We start from the raw sequence: 24,533 nt of genomic DNA, 5'->3' as shown, positions 1-24,533 counted from the left end.
TTTAATAACATCTCACAAGACCTTGATTCCTCAGAGTATTTCTTGAAAACGTGCTTGAAAAGCTTGAATGAATCTTACATGTCCTATTGAGTGACCCATAAATCCCTTAGGTAATGGTTAGAGAATGCAGCATTTGATTTTATTGTAGGTGGAATAGTTCAGGAATTCAGAGTTGCTACAAAGGTGGTGTTCCTGATGGAGGCATGTGTTTGAGGTTGCAAAGGAAAACTTGACTTTGGAGAAACTTGACTTCATTATATGACTCTGAAAGAGTGACTAGTCTTTTAGTGATTCACTCTATCAACCTTTCAGTCTGTAAAGAGTGGGTTGCCAGTTAATCCAGTTATGAAGGTCTCCAAAGAGATCTATACAAGGGAAACATAAAGTGCACATTAGGCTCAACCACACTAAGAGATGCCCAAATTAAGTTGGCAGTGTAGCAGAACTGGCTATGCAGACAGATCTTTTTGAGAAAAATGTAGTGGTGGTTGACCCTCAATAAAATGGTAATATCTCGTGATTTCTTAATTATTTTGTCTACGTATTGGGGTCAGATATTTTGAATGTTCTTTAAATATATTTTAGGTGATCCTAGTGTTACACATTTGAAAATGATAATGTGGCACAATTTTTCATCAAAATATAACCACAATCTTGATGCTTCAAATACACACCTTTCTAAGATTTGATGAAAGATATGGTGGATTCATTGGCACCTTCCTAATACCTATTTGATAAGTGCATCCTTTGTCAGGATGCTGCCAAGATAGTGCTATTTAGTGACAGGCTTCAAATGTATACAGCCAATATAGAGCTTCTGAGGTTATTAAAGTTCTTCTGTAACAGAGTAATGGATGGCTTTAATCCTTTTTAGGCTGGCTATAAACTTGTAATACTTTGCTGACTGTGCAAAATAGCCTATAATATAGACTTATACCTTTTCTTATGTGTGTGTTTCCAAGATCTATTCATCAGCTTAATGACTGATTTTTCCTGAGGTCGGTTTTAGGGCTTGGAGCCAATCACACTGAAACTATTTGGGAGAAAAGGAAAACATTTCACTGTCAAATACCTTGTGTATGTTAATAAATTTTATACATATCTTAATGTTGTTTTGTACATGTCTTACAAGTACCATCTTATCTTTACTTAGTAAGCATTTCAGTTCTCTCATGGTGGGGCTAATCCAAAGCAAATCTTCAAATTAACTGGTATTTGTTACTGGCATCTCCTCTTCCATTGAATCCAGAAACAAAACAGTGCTTTGGCAAATTATAAAGTTCCTGATTGATAGCACCTCAGCTATGGCTCTCTTCTTCCCAGCAAGCCTTACCTGAACACATGTTTCCATTCTCTCCTAACCCTGTTCTTTGCTTTGTACAGAACAGCATTTTGACAGGTCAAAGAAGGCTAAGATGATAAATAGCTTCAGACATTAGCCTTCCAATGGTGATTTCATGTTAATAGGAAGCTCCTGGAATAAATGTCTCAAATTCAAGCGATAAATTATTGAAGATGCTACTTCATAAAATGCATCTGAACACTTGGGGAGCATTTTTGAAAACAGAGTCCCTCTCTATTTCTTGCAAATATTTATGGATACATGGCTATCTACTCCTACTGCTTATAAGAGTATGTACATATATTTAAGAGTAACACTGAGGCTGCTTCTTTTTCTGATATTCATGTTTGTATTTACCAACAAATGCAAATTAATATTGGCTCATGTTATATTGAGAAGATTATTTTACTTAGAGTTTAAACTCATTGAAAACTAGCTCCCAAATTAAAATTATTTGGGCAGACTTGACTAAAACTACTATACAATCAAGTATGTATTTAGGAAAACACTTATAAAGGATATGCCCAATTTTGACTGTATGTGTATGTATGTGTGTGTCACAAATTGATATATATATATCTCTACAAAAAATAATACACACACATTCAGAGAGAGAGAGAGAGAATTAAAATGGTGTCATCCAGAAGGTTTGAATTGTGCAAAGCTAAGAATTTTTTAAAGGAATGTACATATGTTTCCCAAATAATTATGCAGATATTGTTGTCAAAAAAGAATGATGAAGCCAGGTGTGGTGGTTCATGCCTGTTCAGCATTTTGGGAGGCCAAGGCAGGAGGATCACTTGAGGCCAGGAGCTCAAGACCAGCCTGGACAAGATAGTAAGAAACCATCTCTACAAATATATATATTACATATGTTAAAAGTTAGCCAGGCATGGTGGTGCTATTTATAATATTTATATATATTATATATTTAGTATTTAAATATTACATATATTAAAAGTTAGCCAGGCATGGTGGTGCTCACCTTTAGTCTCAGGTACTCAGCAACTTGGGATACCGAGGCAAGATTATCACTTGAGCCCAGGAGCCGAAGGCTGCAGTGAGCTATAATCCCTGTATTCCAGCTTCAGCGATAAAGGGAAACCATGTCTAAAATTCAAAAAGAATGACAAGGTATAAAGTCATACAATTATTTTACTTATTGTGTCTCTTTCTCACACATACATGCAACTGATTATTATAACAATTGTTGTCAATAAAGAGAAATGCTAGTTTGGCGTTAAAATCTCAAAATTGATAGCATATGAGGAGATAAATCTAAAATCCATCAAAATACTTATACATTCCAGCAACTTGTTTTTCATGTGGACAGATGTGTGGTTGTTTCTTTGGAATTTCACATAGCCAGCTATTTGCCCTCTTCAAAATGATTGTCATTTTAAAGAATAATACGCTGTTATAACGTTTCTTGAAACATCAAACTATCTTACAGAATAATATTAGACTTTGTCAAAAACCACAAAAAATAGAATATTTCAAAAACTAGGACCCTGAAAACTTTGTATATATTTTATGACCTTTTAATATGTCTTGCTTATATGGACCCTTTAAATAGAAGCTAAATACCTCTGTGACTAGCATTTTTCTCTCATACTCGTTTGTTCCTGGCAGCTCTGGGTGCTCCACAGGGTACACAGAGGTATGTACCTTTCCTGCCTGGGGCCTGGCAGCATTCTGAGCACACTGATTTCTGTCAGAGACCTTCAGGCAGTAGCCTCTGGCTGACATGGGAAATGCACATTGTAACACTGAGTTTGTCAGTCCTCAACAATCTCCGAAAAGTGGAAAATCTTGGAGAAATGGAGGAAAAATGAAAGAGCAACTCTGCATTGAAAAATTAAACAAAAAATAGCTCCTCTACCTCCTCATTCCCTTTCCAGTCAAGGTAATATGTACAAGGTATGAAATCCAAATCAGTGTGGCAGAAGTTGGGACTGCCATCTCACTTGCTTAATTAATCTTTTGATGACATTATGTCACTCAGCTATGAGCACTACAAATAAACCTTAGGAGACATGACTGCAGCGTTCTAAAAGGAGGTCCATCAGATGAAAGACAATTTATTGCATCCATGGAGCCACAGTTGCATCATTGAAATCGGGAAGCCCACTGCTGAATAGATTTAATAACTTCAGTAGTGACGTTTTCATTTCTATAAAACAGCTAAATTCTTTCCAACTAATATGCAGTAAATACTTACTATGTGGAAGGTATTCCACAAAACAAAGAATTTAATTAAAGTTTTTAAATTAAAATAAAATCATTGAAATTTTAGTTTTAGGCAACATAAAGTAAGCACTCCTTATCCTGACTCTTTCACTGAATACTGTTATAAAATCTGGATAGATGCATGGAGCAAGTACTAGAAGACTCCAAAACCTAAATATTAGCAGATGGATTAGAAAAGAAAGTCAAAATACAAAGTAACACTGAAATGACTGTGAACTTATCATTTATATCTACCTGTGTGGTATCTGCCAACCTGATCTCAGAGCTGCTTAAAACCTGGAAGTGAGTACCAATGAAGAAAGAGAGAGCTGCAGGAGATGTCTTCTGGTTCCAGTTTGAGGAGTGGGAAAGAGGACTTTGGATGGTAATGATGGCTGTAGCATGGGCCTGCAGTTACCTAAAACTCTTAAGGAGGGGAAAGTTCTTAGATCAGAGAAGTTGTGGTATTAAGATGAGGTAAACGTTCATTGCTTTTACTATTTTTGTCCTTCTGCCATTTGGCCTCAACAATGGTTGCAATGGAATTAAGAATTTAACAAATAGGGTTAAATACAGTCCAGCTCCCTGACTGGGGGATATAAAAGCAAGCCCCAAGAAAATCAGAAAGAACCAAAAAGATTACAGAAAGAGAAAAGCTTAGGAAAGTGATCTATAAACTTGCTTGTTAATCTTGTGGGTTCAACCCTGATTTGAGTATGCATGGATCTGATCTTAAACTGCACACTTTGAAAACTGGACACAGATATAAACTATCACTTATGTCCCAGACTTGCCACTGGATGACCCGCATACAGGAAAGATTTAAATAGCACAGAAAATCTTGAAAAAGTAAACTGAAATTGGAGCCACAGCATACAGGTTGGAACTTGTGACCAAAATCAATATCAGTTAATTGCCTACTACAACAAACAAGTACATATAATTTAAACAAGACCAAATGGCTCATAACATGACATTCAAAATATGCAGGATACAATTAAAAATTTTTAGACATAGGGAAGATCAGGAAAATCTCAACACACGTGGGAATGAAAAACCTATTTACTAATGGAGTTTGCAATGTATGTAGATGTAATATATGATATCTACAATATACAAAAAGGCAAGTAAAATACCTATATCATGGTAAGTTTCCAATCTTCCACTTGAAGTGGTAAAATGCTGATTTAAAATGAATCATAAAGAGCTAAATATGTACACTGTAAAAACTAGAGAAATCACAAAAGCAAAACAAAATAAAAACAAAACAAAAAAATCCAAAACTATACAAAGGGATATGGTCAAACACCCAATAATAAATTAAAATGAAAAAATAAAATGTGTAAATCAACAAAAAGAAAATAAGAAAGGTGAAAGACAAGTAAAAAGAGGTAAATAAAAAAATGTAGAGCTACATCAAACATAGCAATAATCATATTAAGTGTAAATTGTCTGGACACACAAATTAACTCACACATATTATCAGAATGAATTTTTAAAAATCATGATCCAACTAGATTCTATATATAAAAAACTGACTTCTAATGTAATGATACTGGTAGTTTAAAATGAAAATAGAGGGAAATATATGTGTGTGTGTGTGTGTGTGTGTCACAAATGTCACACTATGCCAACAATAATCCAAACAAGACCAAAAATCTGATGGTTTATAAAAATGTCAGTCAAAGTAGAATTGAGAGCAAAGAAAGTTACAAAAAACATATAGGGAAATTACACAATTTTAAATGAAAAAAAATCAAGAAGACATAAAGGAAGGAAAAACTGACATAGCAAAAGGAACTAGACAAAATCTACAATTGTAGTTGGAGACTTCAACTCTCACCAACTGGATTTAATTTCATTTATAGAATGCCACCCAACAATAGTAGCAGGCACGTTTTTGTCATGTGTTCTTGAACACTTAGCTTACTAAACCTTTAATTTGCCTTGTCTTATTCTATTTTGTGCTGCTATAACAAAATACTTGACACTAAGTAATTTTTAAAAAGCAGGTATTTATTTACTACAGTACTGGAGGCTGAGAAGTTCAATGTTGAGAAGGCTACATCTGGTGAGGGCCTTCATGCTGCCTCATCCCATGATGTAAGGAAAAAAGAAAAGAGAGCATGTGTGAGAGAGTGAGAGAACATTTACAGCCTCAAACCCTTTTATAAGTGGTATTAATTCATTAATGACGGTAGAGCCCTGGTGACCTAAACACATCCCATTAGGCCCCACCTCTCAACACTGTTGCATTGAGGATTAAGTTTCCAACACTTCCCTTTTTGAGGACACATTCAAACCACAGCACCAAAGTAGACCATATTCTGGATAATAGAACAAATCTTACGTCATTTAGATAATAGAACTCATACAGAGTATGTTCTCTGAACATTATAGAATTAAACTAGAAATTGGTAAAAGAAAGATAGCAGGAAAAATCACTAAACACTTGGAAATTTAATACTTTCTTAAGAATCTATAGTACAAAGTGAAAATGTCAAGGAAAATTAGAAAATATTTTTAACTGAATTAAAATGAAAATATTACAAATAAGTGTATGTGATATGCAGCTAATTAAATACATAGAAATTAATATTAAATGCTCATATTACAAAAGAAAAATGATTTCAAGTAAATAGCCAGAACATTCATCCTAAGGAACTATAACTAAGCAAATGGAGGGTAAAATGAAGACAGAAACAAAAATCAATAAAATTATAAATTTAAAATCCTAGAGAAAATTTTAGAAATCAAAACATAGTTAGTTGAAAAGACTTTAAAAATTGATCAATCTCCACTGATATTCACAAGAAAAAGAAGAAAGTAGACACAAATTACCAATGTCGACAATAAAAGCAGATATTACTACACAAACCACAAAAATGAAAAGCATAACTTAAAAAAAGTATTACCAACAAATCACATATGTTCAACAACATAAATAAAATATGCCAATTCCTAGAGAACCTCGAACTATCAGAAGTCACCAAAGATGAAGTAGGATAATACTATAATTATTACATAAACTGAATTTATTCCTTTTTTTTTTTTTTTTGAGACAGAGTCTCGCTCTGTTGCCTAGGCTGGAGTGCAATGGTATGATCTTGGCTCACTGCAACCTCCACCTCCTGGGTTCAAGCAATTCTCCTGCCTCATCCTCCTGAGTAGCTGGGATTACAGGCATGTGCCATCATGCCTGGCTAATTTTTTGTAATTTTAGTAGAGACAGGGTTTCACCATGCTGGCCAGGCTGGTCTCAAACTCCTGACCTCATGATCTACCCGCCTTGGCCTCCCAAACCTCTGGGATTACAGGCGTGAGAACATTAATTTTGAAAAAGAAATCTTCAGTTCCGGATGATTTCACTGAGAAGTTCTACCAGTCATTTAAAGAAGAAATAAAACCAATTTCTTTCAGAAAATAGAAGAGAGGAGAGCACATCACAACTAATTTTATAAAACCATTACTACATGAACAGTATCGAAATGAGTCAAAGACACTCTAAGAAAGATTAACTACAGAGAAATATCACTTATGAATTTAGATGCAAAAATCCTCAACAACACATTACCAAATTAAATCCAACAATATATAAAACAATACTATATTATAACAAAACAATATTTACCCTACATATGGGAAAGTTTTTCAATACTCAAAAATTAGTGATTGTAATCTATCATATTAACAGTCTAAAGAAGAGACGGCACATGATCATATCAACTAATGAAGAAGAGTATTTGACAAAATTAATGATCGATTCATAATAAAAACTAGCAGAAAATAAGAAATTGAAAAAAAAATATCAACCTGATAAAAGGCTTCTGGAAAAAAAAAAACAATACCACTAACATAATTCTTAATTTTGAAAGACTGAATGCCTTCCCCCTAAAATTGATGGCAAGGCCAAAATTTTTATTTCATTACTCATATTTAACACCATACAAGAGGCCTAACCAATGTATTAAAGCAAGAAAAGAAATGAGATATACAGATTAGAAAGGACTAAATTAAACTGTACCTATCTATATACACAAATTTCCATGCAAAAAAAGCCATGGAATCTATTAAAAATAACTCCTAGAAAATAATTAGCTGGCATAGTCACAAAATACAAAGTTAACATTGTAAAATCTCTCATTTCAGTACAGTAAGAACAATAAGCAAAATTTATCTTAACTCATATGATTTACATTTGCTCCCCCCCAAAATGAATCAAAAATAAGTATGGATTTAGTTAAAATGTGCAAGATCTATATGCTAAACATTACAAAAGCTGATGAAATAAATCAAATAACTCATGCTATGGTCAAGAGTGGAAAGACTCTAAATGGATAAAATTCTCTGTTCAAAAGATACAGAGTGACTGAATAAATTAAAGCAAAACAAAACAGGACCCAGCTATATGCTGCTTATAAGAGAAACACTTCAACTTTAAGGGCACATAATGTGAAAGTGAAGGAATGGAAAAAGATACTCCAGGCAAAGAGAAGCTAAAAGAAAGCAATGGTAACTATATATATATATATATATATATATATATATATATATATATATAGCTATATAGTTATATATATATATAGTTTTATATATATAAATATATATAAATATATATGGTTATATATAAATATAAATATATATAAATATATATGGTTATATATAAATATAAATATATATAACTATATATAAATATATATAGTTATATATAAATATATATAACTATATATATAGTTATATATATAAATATAAATATATATAAATATATATAAATATATATAAAACTTTAAAATTAACCTTATATATATAACTTTATATATAGTTATAAAGTTAATTTTGTATGTATATATGTATATATATTGTGTGTGTATATATATACAAAATTAACTTTTAAGTATCAAAAAAAGAAGGAGGCATAAAGGTGATAAAGGTGTAAATTTAACAAGAAGATATAACAATTATAAATACATATGCACCTAAATATACCACTTAAATATACCAAACAAATATTAATAGATCCTAAGGGAAAGAGAGACTGCAATACAATAATAGTAGTGAACTTCAGTATCACTTTCAACAATGAACAGATATCGAGATAGAAAATCAGTAAGAAAACACTGTACTAAAATGGCACTTTAGACCAAATGAACCTGACAGACACATACAAAACATTTCACCCAACAGTAACATAATATACAGTCTTCTCAAATGCACATAGGACATTTTCCACAACAGATCATATGTTAGGCAGCCAAGCAGGTTGGACAGATTAAGACTGAAACATAGCAAGAATCCTTTCCAACAACAATGGTATAAAACTAGAAATCAATAACAGGAAGAATTTTGGAAAATTCATAAATAAATGGAAATGAAACAATGTACTACAGAAGAACCAATGAATCAAATAAGAAATTGAAAGGAAATTTTAAAAAAATCTTGAGATAAAGAAAAATGTAAACACAGCATACCAAAATTATGAAATGCAGCAAAAGCAGTTATAAGAGGAAATTTTATAGCAATAAATGCTTATATCAGAAAAAGAAGAAGAAAGAAAAATTCCAGATAAACAACCTAATGTTACAACTCAAGAAACTAGAAAAAGAAGAACCAACTAGGCCTAACTTTAGTAGAATAAATAAAAAAAAAGATCAGAAGAAAAACAGATGATGTAGAGACCAGAAAAACAAGAGAAAAAAGCAATGAAACCAACAGTTGGTTTTTAGAAAAAAGGAACAAAATCGATAAACTTTTAGCTAAACTAAGAATACAGAGAAGACAAATAAAACCAGAAATGAAAGAGGAGACATTACAACTGATAACACAGAAATACAAAGAATCACAAGAAACTACTAAGAGAAACTATATGGCAACACATTTAATAACCTAAATACCTAGATAATAAAACCTTCCAAGACTTAAAATAAATTGAAAATCCCAAGAAACCAACATAAAGTATGGAGATTGGGTAAGTAATAAAAGGTATCATCAAAGAAAAGCTCAGGACATAATTGTTGAACTCTACCAAACATTTAAAGAACTTAAAACAATCCTTTCTTCTCAAATTCTTCAAAAAAATAAAAGAGGAGATAATACTTCCAAGCTCATTTTTAGAGGCCAATATTACCCTGATGTCAAAGCCCAACTAGGGTATGACAAAAAAATAAAATTACAGGGCAATATCCCTGATGAACATAGATTCAAAACTCCTCAACAAAATACTAGCAAACTTTATATGGTTTGGCTGTGTCTGCACTCAAATCTCATCTTGAATTGTAATCCCCACGTGTCAAGGGAAGGACTTGGTTGGAGGTGATTGGATCAGGGGGCAGTCTCCCCCATGCTGTTCTCCTGGTAGTGATTGAGTTTTCAGGAGACCTGATGGTTTTAAAATGTGGTACTTCCTTGCGCTCTCTCTTTCCTGCCGCCTTGTGAAGCAGGTGCTTGCTTCTCCTTTGCCTTGTGCTATAATTGTCCACCACATGTAGAAAAATGAAATTAGACTATCATCTCACATCAGATACAATAATCAACTAAAAATGGTTTAATAACTTAAATATAAGACCAGAAAATGTGAAGCTATTAAAAGGAAATAGAAAACTCCACTACATTTGCCTAGGCAATGATTATTTGAATATGGCCCCAAAAGCACAGACAGCAAAAGCAAAAATAGATGAATGGGATAACAACAAAATAAAAAGTTTCTGCACAGCAAAGAAAACAATCAACAGAATGTAGAGACAATCTACAGAATGGGAGAGAATACTTGCAAACCATACATCCGAAAAAGACACAATGTTCAACGTATATGAGGAACCCAAACAACTGAATAGTAAGAAAAACACGCTTTAAAAGAGGGGCAAGGGACCTGAAGAGAATTTCTCAAACACATGCATACAAATGACCAGCCAGGCATGAAAAAATGAGCATGAAAAAATGTTCAACATCACTAATCAACAGAAAAATGAAAATCCAAACCACAGTGAGATGTAACCTCATACCTGTTAGGTTGGCTCTGATAAAATAGTCAAAAGACAACAAACGTGGGCAAGGACATAGAGAAAAGAGAATCCTTATACATTGTTGGTGGAAATGTAAATTGGTACAGCCATTATGGAAAAGAGCATGATGATTCCTCAATAATTAAAAATGAAATTACCATATCATCTAGCAATCCCAGTTCTGGGTGTATATTCAAAGGATATGAAATCAGTATGCCAAAGAAACTGCACTTTTATATTTATTGAAGCAATATTCACAATGTCCATGATATGGTATCAAATTAAGTGTCCATCAGGAAATAAATAGATAATAAAACTGTGATATGTATATGTGTGTAGAGAGATATATATATATATGAGCCAAGATCATGCCACTGTATTCCAGCCTGAGTGACAGAGTGAGACTCTGTCTCAAAAAAAATTTATATGTTATAAATTATATTTTATATATATAATATTGTCATATATATTGTTATATATTATTTTATATAATAAATAATACATATGCGTTATATATAATATAAAATTTCATTTGATACATAAATATGTATTTTTATATATTCATTGTACTGTATTATAATATATTCATCATATATGTGTGTGTATATATATACATGGCTTATGTATAAGATATCCTAGGTGATATCCAAGGTCTTTCAATATGCTAATTGAAACAAAGCACAATATATCATATATAAATATGTCATATATTTTTATTTTTATCATATATAAATTTGTAAATTATTGCAGAAGCTATGTTAATAAGGAAAATGAATGTATTAGAATGGAGGGTAACAATAACTTTATACAGGTAAAATCTGAAATCCAAAATGATATCAAATTCTAAACTAACTTTAAGCGCCAACATGATGCTCAAAGGAAATGCTCACTGAAGGTTTTTGGATTTGGAAAACTTAACCTGTAGTTGCTACAAAAGCCTGTTGGCATGACTCCCAGATACTTCTAGAAAATTAAACCTTGTCTTATCTCTGCAGGTTTAAATTTAGGGAATACTTCATTCAGCCTCCTTAGCTTGGGCTGCTGAAACATGCTCAGCATTAACAATGCTCAGTCCTGAGAGTATCGTACTTTATTATGCTCTTTAGTCATAATGTACATGGCATAAGACTAAAAACAGTGACACATCCAGCTTAGATATCGCTGTCCGTAGCCTACAAGCAGAACTGCTTCAGCTAGGAAAGGGGCAGGTGAGTTTCCTGAGGTCTGATTTAACCTTCTTTCACTTTAAAAACAATCCACACGTTGGGGAGCTAGAAGCTTACATCTCCAGGTCCTGGGAAACTGTTGCTGATCTTTCAGTTCTATACCTTGTCTGGATTTATTTTGCCACGTTTTGAATAGGTAAACTTTCTGTGTGTCTTTTCTTTCCATCATTCCGAATCTGTTCTTCATGTGGGTCATAAAGTCCCTTATCTTACTTTATCATCCCAGCTTCCTCAGAAAAGAAGACTTCAAGTTACCGTAGAGAAAACTATGCTAGGGAGAATTACTCTGCTGTGCAAACGCAATAAGGTAAAATGAGAAAAAAAAAAAAATGGAGAGAAAGAAAAACATATGGGTAAATCTCTAAGACAAAATGGCTGATATCACTTTCTCTTTGCTTGTCCCAGGGAATCTCAAGATAAGTGGTGAAAACAGTAGAAGAATAAAGTCAATATAACCTGAGAGCTAGAAATGTGGTCATATTTTCCTTTCATACCTTTCTTCCTCCATAATTTTGAGCTGTATTTGCTTTTTCCTAACAAAGCAACTTGTCCCTACAGAAGGAAGTGTAGGAATCCAAGGAGAAATATCCGTGGTAGATTTCAATTAAGAAGCTCTGGCATTAAGCAAAATAGGTGAAGAAGCTTTACACGTCGTTTCCCTTTTGAGTCGCTCAGCCAAATTCATCAGTGTAAAGGAAGAGGCAAGTATTTAATTCAAAGGTATGTACAGGAATGGCTTTTCTTCTAGAGTGTGCCTTGTACTGCATTTCTTGAAGATCGGCAATACTTGGAATTAAAGAGTTGTAATATACCAATTAAATTGGACATAGACAGGGCCGGGCGTGGTGGCTCACGCCTGCATTCCCAGCACTTTGGGAGGCCAAGGCAAGCAGATCAAGAGGTCAGGAGATCGAGACCATCCTGGCTAACACGGTGAAACCCCGTCTCTACTAAAAATACAAAAAAAACTAGCCGGGCATGGTGGCGGGCACCTGTAGTCCCAGCTACTTGGTAGGCTGAGGCAGGAGAATGGCGTGAACCCAGGAGGTGGAGCTTGCAGCGAGCTGAGATTGCACCACTGCACTCCAGCCTGGGCGACAGAGCAAGACTCCCACTCAAAAAAAAAAAAAAAAAAAAAAATTGGACTTAGGTTCTTATACAGTCAGATAAAATATACATCTCATGGATATTGTTGCTTTCTTCGTCTGAGGTCACTGGTTTTTATTAAAAGCAAGCATTACGGAGGTAAAATTTGGTCTGATCCACATTCATCCTTGGCATCAAAACCCTCGGCCTTCCCCTTGATAACTCAACAAGATAACTTAGGTCATTTGAGATGTGTTTCTAATAAAGGATGCTTCATCTGTAATTATGCAGGAACTTTATACATATTCACCAGTAACAGTGTATCCTTCATTTTTGAATAAATTAATTGTCATTTGGATCTCTTGGGTGTCTCAGGGTAAAGCTATTTAAGCTGTTAGCAAAAAGAATATGATAAAATTTCTGCAGCCAATATATAAGCAAACTTTCCACATAAAAATAACAGTAACTTTCATTTTTCTTAAGCTAAAATATTCCCATACTTTTACATTGTTTCATCTATGTCTTTCTCTCAAGTGAGAGACAAGTTTGATAACAAATGTTTAATACTCTAAAATGATTTGGACACAAACAACTTATTTGAACATACCAAGATCAGTTTTGAATTTATAGAGTCTTTAGTAGAAGGTGATATCATAGATTATGAGTTTGGTAAACTGAAGATCAGACTCATATTTTAGTGATACATTAAAACATGATGATATGGTTTGGATCTGTGTCCCTGCCCAAATCTCCTGTCAAATTGTAACCCCCAGTAGGAGGTAGGGCCTGATGGGAGGTGATTGGATCGTGGGGGTGAATTTCTCCCTTGGTGTTCTCGTGATAGTGAGTGAGTTCTCCTGAGATCTGGTCATTTAAAAGTATGTAGCACCTCCCATCTCTCTCTCACTGCTGCTCCCACCATGTAGGTTGCCTCACTCCCACTTTGCCTTCTGCCAAGATTGTAAGTTCCTTGAGGCCTTTTAAGAAGCTGATGTCATTATGCGTCTTAGATAGGCTGCAGAACCATGAGCCAATTAAACCTCTTTTCCTTATAAATTACCCAGTCTCAGGTATTTCTTTATAGCAGTGTGAGAATGGACTAATATACATGATAATAGCTTAAAGGTGATGAGAATGAAGGGTATTTTTTTTTTCAGATGCTGACTGTGCTGCTGCAACCACCTGGATCTCAGTATCCACATTAACATCCCATAGAATGATTAACTAGATTTTCACTTATCCCTTTCCCTGAATACATTTGTCTTAATTTTCTTATTGTAAAGATCACTATCTTTAGAAATGCAATCAAGGCTTAATAATCCAGTACACAGTAACATCATTAAAATCTATAGCCTAAGATGAAACCATGCTACAATAATAACTTTCCAGAATTCCTAATAAGACTGAAGATAAGAGTCAAGTGAGCACCTATAAAACTGAATTTAGTAGTCACATTTTAAGATACATCTGGAAAACATATTTTGGCCTTTGAAAACCTGATTCAATAGTTTTGAAACCTCAGCCTAGAAATATACCACTCTCAAAAGCAAACAGATTTGTGAGCAGTCAAAACTTGCTTTGCACTTCATTTGTAAAATTCAAATTGCTTATTCAGCTCTCTCTAAAAAATGATGCTTTATGCTTCTTGAAAATTTATAAAATTATGTCCACTTAAATCTTCTTACTAGGTAAGATTAGATAATATTACTGCAATTAGGTAAAGTGAGTCTATTGTGCTGTGGTGCAATACAACAGGCAGCAGGAAAGAAACAGAGAGAGGATAAAGGGACGGGACTGCCCAGTGACTAGGTGAACCCCCATTTCAGGAATTTGAGCGGAAAATCTTTTATAAGCTGGTACAAGTTATAACAGCTGAAATGCATATAAGACATCTAAAATGTGAGTCATCACATTTTGAACTCATATAAAAGAGGATATCTGTCCAGTTGGACATCGTTTCATTTATTCAAGCTGACTAGATTAGATGACCTTCTTAATGACAAGAGTGTCCACACCTCTTCAATTGCCATCAAAACCTCTCACAAATCAAAATATGCCCCCCCAAATATATTTCCTGCTTCTTTGCATAAACCTCACACTTTACCATTATTATCATATTTCTAATAAATTGAATAAAGTCTAAAAATGTAATATTCCTTTGGTGTACTGCAGGTCTGAGATAAAGTCAAATACAGAATTCAAGTAGTTTAATTATTATTTTATGAACTGCTTTTCCATCAGTTAGGAGATTGAAAATTACAATAATTAAATTAATTGCAGCAATGTGAATTAATTTTTAAAATATTGCTATGTGTTTCAATAATAAACTTTGTATTTATATGTAAGTAGTCATATATAAAGAAATTTAGAGAGTAAAACTATCTTACATATTGTCATTCATTTTTCTTTATTCAGTTAAAGAAGTACTCAAACCCAAGAGCCCTTTAAAGAAACAACATAGGAGTCAGTGAGTGAGTGGGGGAAGCAGCCAAGATGGACAAACAAGAACAGCTCTGGTCTACAGCTCCCAGCATGAGCGACGCAGAAGACAGGTGATTCCTGCATTTCCATCTGAGGTACCAGGTTCATCTCACTAGGGGGTGCCACACAGTGGGTGCAGGACAGTGGGTGCAGCGCGCAGTGCGCGAGCCGAAGCAGGGCGAGGCATTGCCTCACTCGGGAAGTGCAAGGGGTCAGGGAGTTCCCTTTCCTAGTCAAAGAAAGGGGTGACGGACGGCACCTGGCAAATCGGGTCACTCCCACCCGAATACTGCACTTTTCCGATGGTCTTAAAAAATGGCGCACCAGGAGATTATATCCCGCACATGGCTCGGAGGGTCCTACGCCCATGGAGTCTTGCTGATTGCTAGCACAGCAGTCTGAGATCAAACTGCAAGGCGGCAGCGAGGCTGGGGGAGGGGCACCTGCCATTGCCCAGGCTTGCTTAGGTAAACAAAGCAGCCGGGAAGCTTGAACTGGGTGGAGCCCACCACAGCTCAAGGAGGCCTGCCTGCCTCTGCAGGCTTCACCTCTGGGGGCAGGGCACAGACTAACAAAAAGACAGCAGTAACCTCTGAGGACTTAAATGTCCCTGTCTGACAGCTTTGAAAAGAGCAGTGGTTCTCCCAGCACGCAGCTGGAGATCTGAGAACGGGCAGACTGCCTCCTCAAGTGGGTCCCTGATCCCTGACCCCCGAGCAGCCTAACAGGGAAGCACCCCCCAGTAGGGGCAGACTGACACCTCACATGGCTGGGTACTCCTCTGAGACAAAACTTCCAGTGGAAGGATCAGACAGAAGCATTCGCGGTTCACGAAAATCCGCTGTTCTGCAGCCACTGCTGCTGGTACCCAGGCAAACAGTGTCTGGAGTGGACCTCTAGCAAACTCCAACAGACCTGCAGCTGAGGGTCCTGTCTGTTAGAAGGAAAACTAACAAACAGAAAGGAAATCCACACCAAAAACCCATCTATACATCACCATCATCAAAGACCAAAAGTAGATAAAACCACAAAGATGGGGAAAAAACAGAGCAGAAAAACTGGAAACTCTAAAAAGCAGAGCGCCTCTCCTCCTCCAAAGGAATGCACTTCCTCACCAGCAACGGAACAAAGCTGGACAGAGAATGACGTTCACGACTTGAGAGAAGAAGGCTTCAGACGATCAAATTACTCCGAGCTACAGGAGGAAATTCAAACCAAAGGCAAAGAAGTTGAAAACTTTGAAAAAAAATTAGACAAATGTATAACTAGAATAACCAATACAGAGAAGTGCTTAAAGGAGCCGATGGAGCTGAAAGCCAAGGCTCGAGAACTACGTGAAGAATGCAGAAGCCTCAGGAGCCCATGCGATCAACTAGAAGAAAGGGTATCAGTGATGGAAGATGAAATGAATGAAATGAAGCGAGAAGGGAAGTTTAGAGAAAAAAGAATAAAAAGAAACGAACAAAGCCTCCAAGAAATATGAGACTATGTGAAAAGACCAAATCTATGTCTGATTGGTGTACCTGAAATTGACAGGGAGAATGGAACCAAGTTGGAAAACACTCTGCAGGATATTATCCAGGAGAACTTCCCCAATCTAGCAAGGCAGGCCAACATTCAGATTCAGGAAATACAGAGAATACCACAAAGATACTCCTCGAGAAGAGCAACTCCAAGACACATAATTGTCAGATTCACCAAAGTTGAAATGAAGGAAAAAGTGTTAAGGGCAGCCAGAGAGAAAGGTCGGGTTACCCACAAAGGGAAGCCCATCAGACTAACAGCGGATCTCTCGGCAGAAACTCTACAAGTCAGAAGAGAGTGGGGGCCAATATTCAACATTCTTAAAGAAAAGAATTTTCAACCCAGAATTTCATATCCAGCCAAACTATGCTTCATAAGTGAAGGAGAAATAAAATCCTTTACAGACAAGCAAATGCTGAGAGATTTTGTCACCACCAGGCCTGCCCTACAAGAGGTCCTGAAGGAAGCACTAAACATGGAAAGGAAAAATTGGTACCAGCCACTGCAAAATCATGCCAAATTGTAAAGACCATCGAGACTAGGAAGAAACTGCATCAACTAACGAGCAAAATAACCAGCTAACGTCAAAATGACAGGATCAAATTCACACATAACAATATTAACTTTAAATGTAAATGGACTAAATGCTCCAATTAAAAGACACAGACTGGCAAATTGGATAAAGAGTCAAGACCCATCAGTGTGCTGTATTCAGGAAACCCGTCTCACGTGCAGAGACACACATAGGCTCAAAATAAAAGGATGGAGGAAGATCTACCAAGCAAATGGAAAACAAAAAAAGGCAGGGGTTGTAATCCTAGTCTCTGATAAAACAGACTTTAAACCAACAAATATCAAAAGAGACAAAGAAGACCATTACATAATGGTAAAGGGATCAATTCAACAAGAAGAGCTAACTATCCTAAATATATATGCATCCAATACAGGAGCACTCAGTTTCATAAAGCAAGTCCTGAGTGACCTACAAAGAGACTTAGACTCCCACACAATAATAATGGGAGATTTTAACACCCCACTGTCAACATTAGACAGATCAACGAGACAGAAAGTTAACAAGGATACCCAGGAATTGAACTCAGCTCTGCACCAAGCAGACCTAATAGATCTACAAAACTCTCCACCCCAAATCAACAGAATATACATTTTTTTCAGCACCGCACCACACCTATTCCAAAATTGACCACATACTTGGAAGTAAATCTCTCCTCAGCAAATGTAAAAGAATAGAAATTGTAACAAACTGTCTCTCAGACCACAGTGCAATCAAACTAGAATTCAGGATTAAGAAACTCACTCAAAACTGCTCAACTACATGGAAACTGAACAACCTGCTCCTGAATGACTACTGGGTACACAACGAAATGAAGGCAGAAATAAAGATGTTCTTTGAAACCAATGAGAACAAAGACACAACATACCAGAATCTCTGGGACACATGCAAAGCAGTGTGTAGAGGGAAACTTATAGCACTAAATGCCCACAAGAGAAAGCAGGAAAGATCCAAAATTGACACCCTAACATCACAATTAAAAGAACTAGAAAAGCAAGAGCAAACACATTCAAAAGCTAGCAGAAGGCAAGAAGTAACTAAAATCAGAGCAGAACTGAAGGAAATAGAGACACAAAAAACCCTTCAAAAAATTAATGAATCCAGGAGCTGGTTTTTTGAAAGGATCAACAAAACTGATAGACCACTAGCAAGACTAATAAAGAAGAAAAGAGAGAAGAATCAAATAGACGCAATAAAAAATGATAAAGGGGATATCACCACTGATCCCACAGAAATACAAACTACCATCAGAGAATACTACAAACACCTCTACGCAAATAAACTAGAAAATCTAGAAGAAATGGATAAATTCCTCGACACATACACCCTCCCAAGTCTAAACCAGGAAGAAGTTGAATCTCTGAATAGATCAATAACAGGCTCTGAAATTGTGGCAATAATCAATAGCTTACCAACCAAAAAGAGTCCAGGACCAGATGGATTCACAGCCGAATTCTATCAGAGGTACAAGGAGGAACTGGTACCATTCCTTCTGAAACTATTCCAATCAATAGAAAAAGAGGGAATCCTCCCTAACTCATTTTATGAGGCCAGCATCATCCTGATACCAAAGCCGGGCAGAGACACAGCCAAAAATAGAATTTTAGACCAATATCCTTGATGAACATTGATGCAAAAATCCTCAATAAAATACTGGCAAACCGAATCCAGCAGCACATCAAAAAGCTTATCCACCATGATCAAGTGGGCTTCATCCCTGGGATGCAAGGCTGGTTCAATATATGCAAATCAATAAATGTAATCCAGCATATAAACAGAACCAAAGACAAAAACCACGATTATCTCAATAGATGCAGAAAAGGCCTTTGACAAAATTCAACAACGCTTCATGCTAAAAACTCTCAATAAATTAGGTATTGATGGGATGTATCTCAAAATAATAAGAGCTATCTATGACAAACCCACAGCCAATATCATACTGAATGGGCAAAAACTGGAAGCATTCCCTTTGAAAACTGGCACAAGACAGGGATGCCCTCTCTCACCACTCCTATTCAACATAGTGTTGGAAGTTCTGGCCAGGGCAATCAGGCAGGAGAAGGAAATAAATGGTATTCAATTAGGAAAAGAGGAAGTCAAATTGTCCCTGTTTGCAAAAGACATGATTGTATATCTAGAAAACCCCATTATCTCAGCCCAAAATCTCCTTAAGCTGATAAGCAACTTCAGCAAAGTCTCAGGATACAAAATCAATGTACAAAAATCACAAGCATTCTTATACACCAATAACAGACAAACAGAGAGCCAAATCATGAGTGAACTCCCATTCACAATTACTTCAAAGAGAATAAAATACCTAGGAATCCAACTTACAAGGGATGTGAAGGACCTCTTCAAGGAGAACTACAAACCACTGCTCAATGAAATAAAAGAGGATCCAAACAAATGGAAGAACATTCCATGCTCATGGGTAGGAAGAATCAATATCGTGAAAATGGCCATACTGCCCAAGGTAATTGATAGATTCAATGCCATCCCCATCAAGCTACCAATGACTTTCTTCACAGAATTGGAAAAAACTACTTTAAAGTTCATATGGAACCAAAAAAGAGCCCGCATCGCCAAGTCAATCCTAAGCCAAAAGAGCAAAGGTGGAGGCATCACACTACCTGACTTCAAACTATACTACAAGTCTACAGCAACCAAAACAGCATGGTACTGGTACCAAAACAGACATATAGATCAATGGAACAGAACAGAGCCCTCAGAAATAACGCCGCATATCTACAACTATCTGATCTTTGACAAACCTGACAAAAAGAAGAAATGGGGAAAGGATTCCCTATTTAATAAATGGTGCTGGGAAAACTGGCTAGCCATATGTAGAAAGCTGAAACTGGATCCCTTCCTTACACCTTATACAAAAATTAATTCAAGATGGATTAAAGACTTACATGTTAGACCTAAAACCATAAAAACCCTAGAAGAAAACCTAGGCAATACCATTCAGGACATAGGCATGGGCATGGACTTCATGTCTAAAACACCAAAAGCAATGGCAACAAAAGCCAAAATTGACAAATGGGATCTAATTAAACTAAAGAGCTTCTGCACAGCAAAAGAAACTACCATCAGAGTGAACAGGCAACCTACAAAATGGGAGAAAATTTTCACAACCCACTCATCTGACAAAGGGCTAATATCCAGAATTACAGTGAACTCAAACAAATTTACAAGAAAAAAATAAACAACCCCATCAAAAAGTGGGCGAAGGACATGAACAGACACTTCTCAAAAGAAGACATTTATGCAGCCAAAAAATACATGAAAACATGCTCACCATCACTGGCCATCAGAGAAATGCAAATCAAAACCACAATGAGATACCATCTCACACCAGTTAGAATGGCAATCATTAAAAAGTCAGGAAACAACAGGTGCTGGAGAGGATGTGGAGAAATAGGAACACTTTTACACTGTTGATGGGACTGTAAACTAGTTCAACCATTGTGGAAGTCAGTGTGGCTATTCCTCAGGGATCTAGAACTAGAAATAGCATTTGACCCAGCCATCCCATTACTGGGTATATACCCAAAGGACTATAAATCATGCTCATAAAGACACATGCACACATATGTTTATTGTGGCACTATTCAGAATAGCAAAGAGTTGGAACCAACCCAAATGTCCAACAATGATAGACTGGATTAAGAAAATGTGGCACATATACACCATGGAATACTATGCAGCCATAAAAAATGATGAGTTCATGTCCTTTGTAGGGACATGGATGAAATTGGAAATCATCATTTTCAGTAAACTATCGCAAGAACAAAAAAACCAAATACTGCATGTTCTCACTCATATTTGGGAACTGAACAATGAGAACACATGGACACAGGAAGGGGAACATCAGACTCTGGGGACTGTTGTGGGGTGGGTGGAGGGATAGCATTAGGAGATATACCTAATGCTAAATGACGAGTTAATGGGTGCAGCACACCAGCATGGCACATGTATACATATGTAACTAACCTGCATGTTGTGCACATGTACCCTAAAACTTAAAGTATAATAATAATAAAATTTTAAAAAAGAAAAGAAACAAAAACAAACAAAAAAAGAAACAACATAAACACTGATTTGGAAATGATAGTTGAAGTTATTTGTGATTTTTATATTTAAATTTGATTGTTTTATTATGCAGTAATTGCTAATGGGCTTAATATCCTGTGTTATTTTAAAAAATTTTAAAGGTCTATGATTAAGAGCAAAATATCTTCAATAACCTTCTTATACATTATTTTTTTCATTTCTTAATAATCACTTGGTAAAAATCTGATAGACTCAAACTTCTAAAACCAGTTATTTTCAGTGAGTTTTGTGTTTGAGTAGTTCAGAAAAGCATGTTGTCGAGTCCACCATTTACCTTACAAAAAAAAGGCTGAACTCTCTGCCTGCCCTTCAGTCATGTCTTCATACCTTCTTCAGGATGGAAATAAAACTCAGTAAAACATGCTGAAATATATTTACACACAACACTCTTCATCTGGCTCTTTAAAATGTTTTTTAAAATATTGAAATGTCTTCTCTTTGTTGTGGTTTTGGTTTACTTAGATAATAAGCATAACCAGAAAACATTGAACACGTGTTTATAGAGCAACTTGCTATTTGTTATTTGTGTAAAACTGTCCGTCACACTATGGAAGATACAGAGATAAATAAAACATAGTCCCTATTCCCCAGGTATGTGAGAAAGTATAAACAGGCCCCCACTGATTCCAATGAAAAGCCAATTTCATAAAACATAGAATTTAAAATCTGTGAAATTTTTGTATGGGATTCCTGAAAAGTAAGACAATGCTTAGAGCTAAAGGAGCAGAAAACATTTTGCCATTTATATTGAAAGGTAAAAATAGAAACAGTCAGAATTCAAACAACAGTTACAATATATGTTGCATTTTAATATGTATAAAGCACTCTCATATCCAATAGCTCATCTGTTTCTTTAATCTTGTGAAGTAGTCAGAATAGATACATCATCACCATTTTGAGGATAGAGAAAATTTGTTTACAAAGGTTAATGGTTGGTTAAAAATTAGTCCAACAAATCTAGAATCCAACCTAGAACTCCTAAATAAGCTAAGTTTTTGTTTTGTTCTGCTTTTAGCTTTACCTTCAGGAAAAAAAAAAAATAAAGCTTATTTTAAAGAAAAGGAAAACCTTTCTACCTCCCTAAGAAACTCACCAGAAAGGCAAATTTATGATTATATTCCTGAGTACCTCTTTCAAATATGTTAAAAAATACTTTTTTTCTCACAGCAAACTAAGTGATCCTGAATCATTTATGACCATAAATAGTCAGGATCTTTGTTTTATAGCTTTCTGGACAGATAGCACTTTCAGCATAGTGAAACACCATTTGTAGGGAGCTTCAGATGACTGTCAAAAGGAAACAGGTATCCTACTAAAATATTAACCAACACCACGTTCTTTGTAATATTTAAGGAAGTAATTCTAAATATTAATTTCAACTACTGGTATCAATATAAAGTTTATTCAGCAAGCTTTTATAAACATTCACTATGTTGGGAAGATGTAAAGAACTCTTGAATTTCAATCTTATTATTTTTCACACACTGAAGAAAAGGACTGCATAAAGTTACAGTCCTGGTTAACAGTTTCCTGAATATTTTTTCATCGTTCTTTTCATAAACAAAGATAAAGTGCTTGGATTTTTAAAAATATATTTCTTTCATTTTGATGGCATCTCTAATATTTTCAAAGCAACCTCTTAATAGATTCATGCTCTTGTGTAATATGTAAATATGAATGCATCATCTTAGCTTTTATGTTACCCTTGCCTTCAAAAATAAATATTTATTTACCACATAATATATTTTAAAAACTCTTTAGGTAGTTTGTATTTTGTAACAAATCAGAGAAAATACAAGCTACTCAAACAATTATTTGTTCTGTTTGGTTTTGCCTTGTTAAATACTATTGCTCTTATATTGTTCCAGGATAGGATTATGATTGTTGCATCTGAGAATAAGCATTCCATGAAATAAACTTTTTGAAAAATAATGACAATAATACTCATTAAGCACTGAATATAGTACCAGCAAGGGCATGACATAGGTTTCACTGACCCCATTTGGGACAATACACAGTGTGAGGCTTAGACATGTAAACAACCCACTGAAGATCACAAAGACAATCAAGTGGTGTAGCCGAACTAAAGCTCAGGTTCCTGTGACTGAAGAGCCCCACCTTTAACCACCATGTCCATCAGTTCCTGTATCACAACAGTTTAGGTCTCTCTGTTCTAAAAGTTTATAAAAATGAAACCATACCAATGATATAGAAATAAAGTAGGGTGGAAGTGGCTTTCCCCATTGAAGGGGGTGAGTAATTTGTTGCTGCAGTGTTTGGAATTCTATAGGTAATAAACACACTCATTGTCTGCACCTGAGCACACTGCTTCCATTGCCTTTACTTTGGGATGCCTCAATACCCCACAGCATGTACTGCCCTGTGACCTCTTTTATGTGGCATAATGTCTGTTTTACTGATATCATTACAAGTATTATCCAGTGGTTCCCTTTCACTGCTGAGTAGTATTCACTGTATACATGTACTGCAATTGTTTACTCTCTATTTATGGCCATTCGGATGGTTCTTAAGTTTGGATATGATAAATAATTATACAAAAATATTATTGTACAAATCGTTATGAACATGTTTTCTTATTTGTTGAGCATAATCCTAAAAGTGGAGTTATTAAATCATAAGGTATGTGTATGATTAAATTTATGTGGAAAGATAAATAGTATTCCAAAGTATAACCATTTTACATGCCCACCTGTATAGTACAATGCTTTCAGTTTCTCTGCATAACGTCCCCACACTTGGTTTTATTAGTCTTATTAAATTTTAGCAATTACTGTGTTTGTGCAGTAAACAGTAAGTCATCTCTTAATACCCTCAATAGATCCTTGAAAACTGTAACTTTAAGTGAAATGACCTATAGGAAATCAATTTTACCATAAGCTAATTAATATAAACCAGAGTTAAGTTTCTATAGTATATTTCTGGTCATGAAAACACCACCA

At 35.3% G+C, this 24,533-nt stretch overlaps 1 long non-coding RNA gene across 1 annotated transcript in view, besides 2 other annotated features; it reads right to left on the bottom strand.

The window, feature by feature from the left end:
* The window catches only part of LOC105375630 (uncharacterized), a 559,756-nt gene that overhangs the window by 11,455 nt on the left and 523,768 nt on the right, over positions 1 to 24,533 (bottom strand). The window contains exon 6 of the long non-coding RNA XR_001745653.3: positions 2,328 to 2,452. This is a non-coding gene — a long non-coding RNA (uncharacterized LOC105375630). The remainder of the gene's footprint in view (positions 1 to 2,327; positions 2,453 to 24,533) is intronic.
* Positions 15,101 to 15,660: an enhancer, noted in NCBI's record as "NANOG-H3K27ac-H3K4me1 hESC enhancer chr8:89872714-89873273 (GRCh37/hg19 assembly coordinates)". NCBI's record gives its function as "activates a minimal SCP1, AML or CMV promoter by ChIP-STARR-seq in naive H9 embryonic stem cells {active_cell/tissue: H9 hESC(naive)}" and the evidence as "EXISTENCE:reporter gene assay evidence [ECO:0000049][PMID:30033119]".
* Positions 15,661 to 16,221: an enhancer, noted in NCBI's record as "NANOG-H3K27ac-H3K4me1 hESC enhancer chr8:89872153-89872713 (GRCh37/hg19 assembly coordinates)". NCBI's record gives its function as "activates a minimal SCP1, AML or CMV promoter by ChIP-STARR-seq in naive H9 embryonic stem cells {active_cell/tissue: H9 hESC(naive)}" and the evidence as "EXISTENCE:reporter gene assay evidence [ECO:0000049][PMID:30033119]".

The sequence above is a fragment of the Homo sapiens genome, chromosome 8, assembly GCF_000001405.40.
Source record: "Homo sapiens chromosome 8, GRCh38.p14 Primary Assembly".
In the NCBI taxonomy this organism is placed as follows: domain Eukaryota; kingdom Metazoa; phylum Chordata; class Mammalia; order Primates; family Hominidae; genus Homo; species Homo sapiens.
The sequence above is the reverse complement of the archived record's forward strand: the minus strand, read 5'-3'. Positions and strand labels throughout refer to the sequence as shown.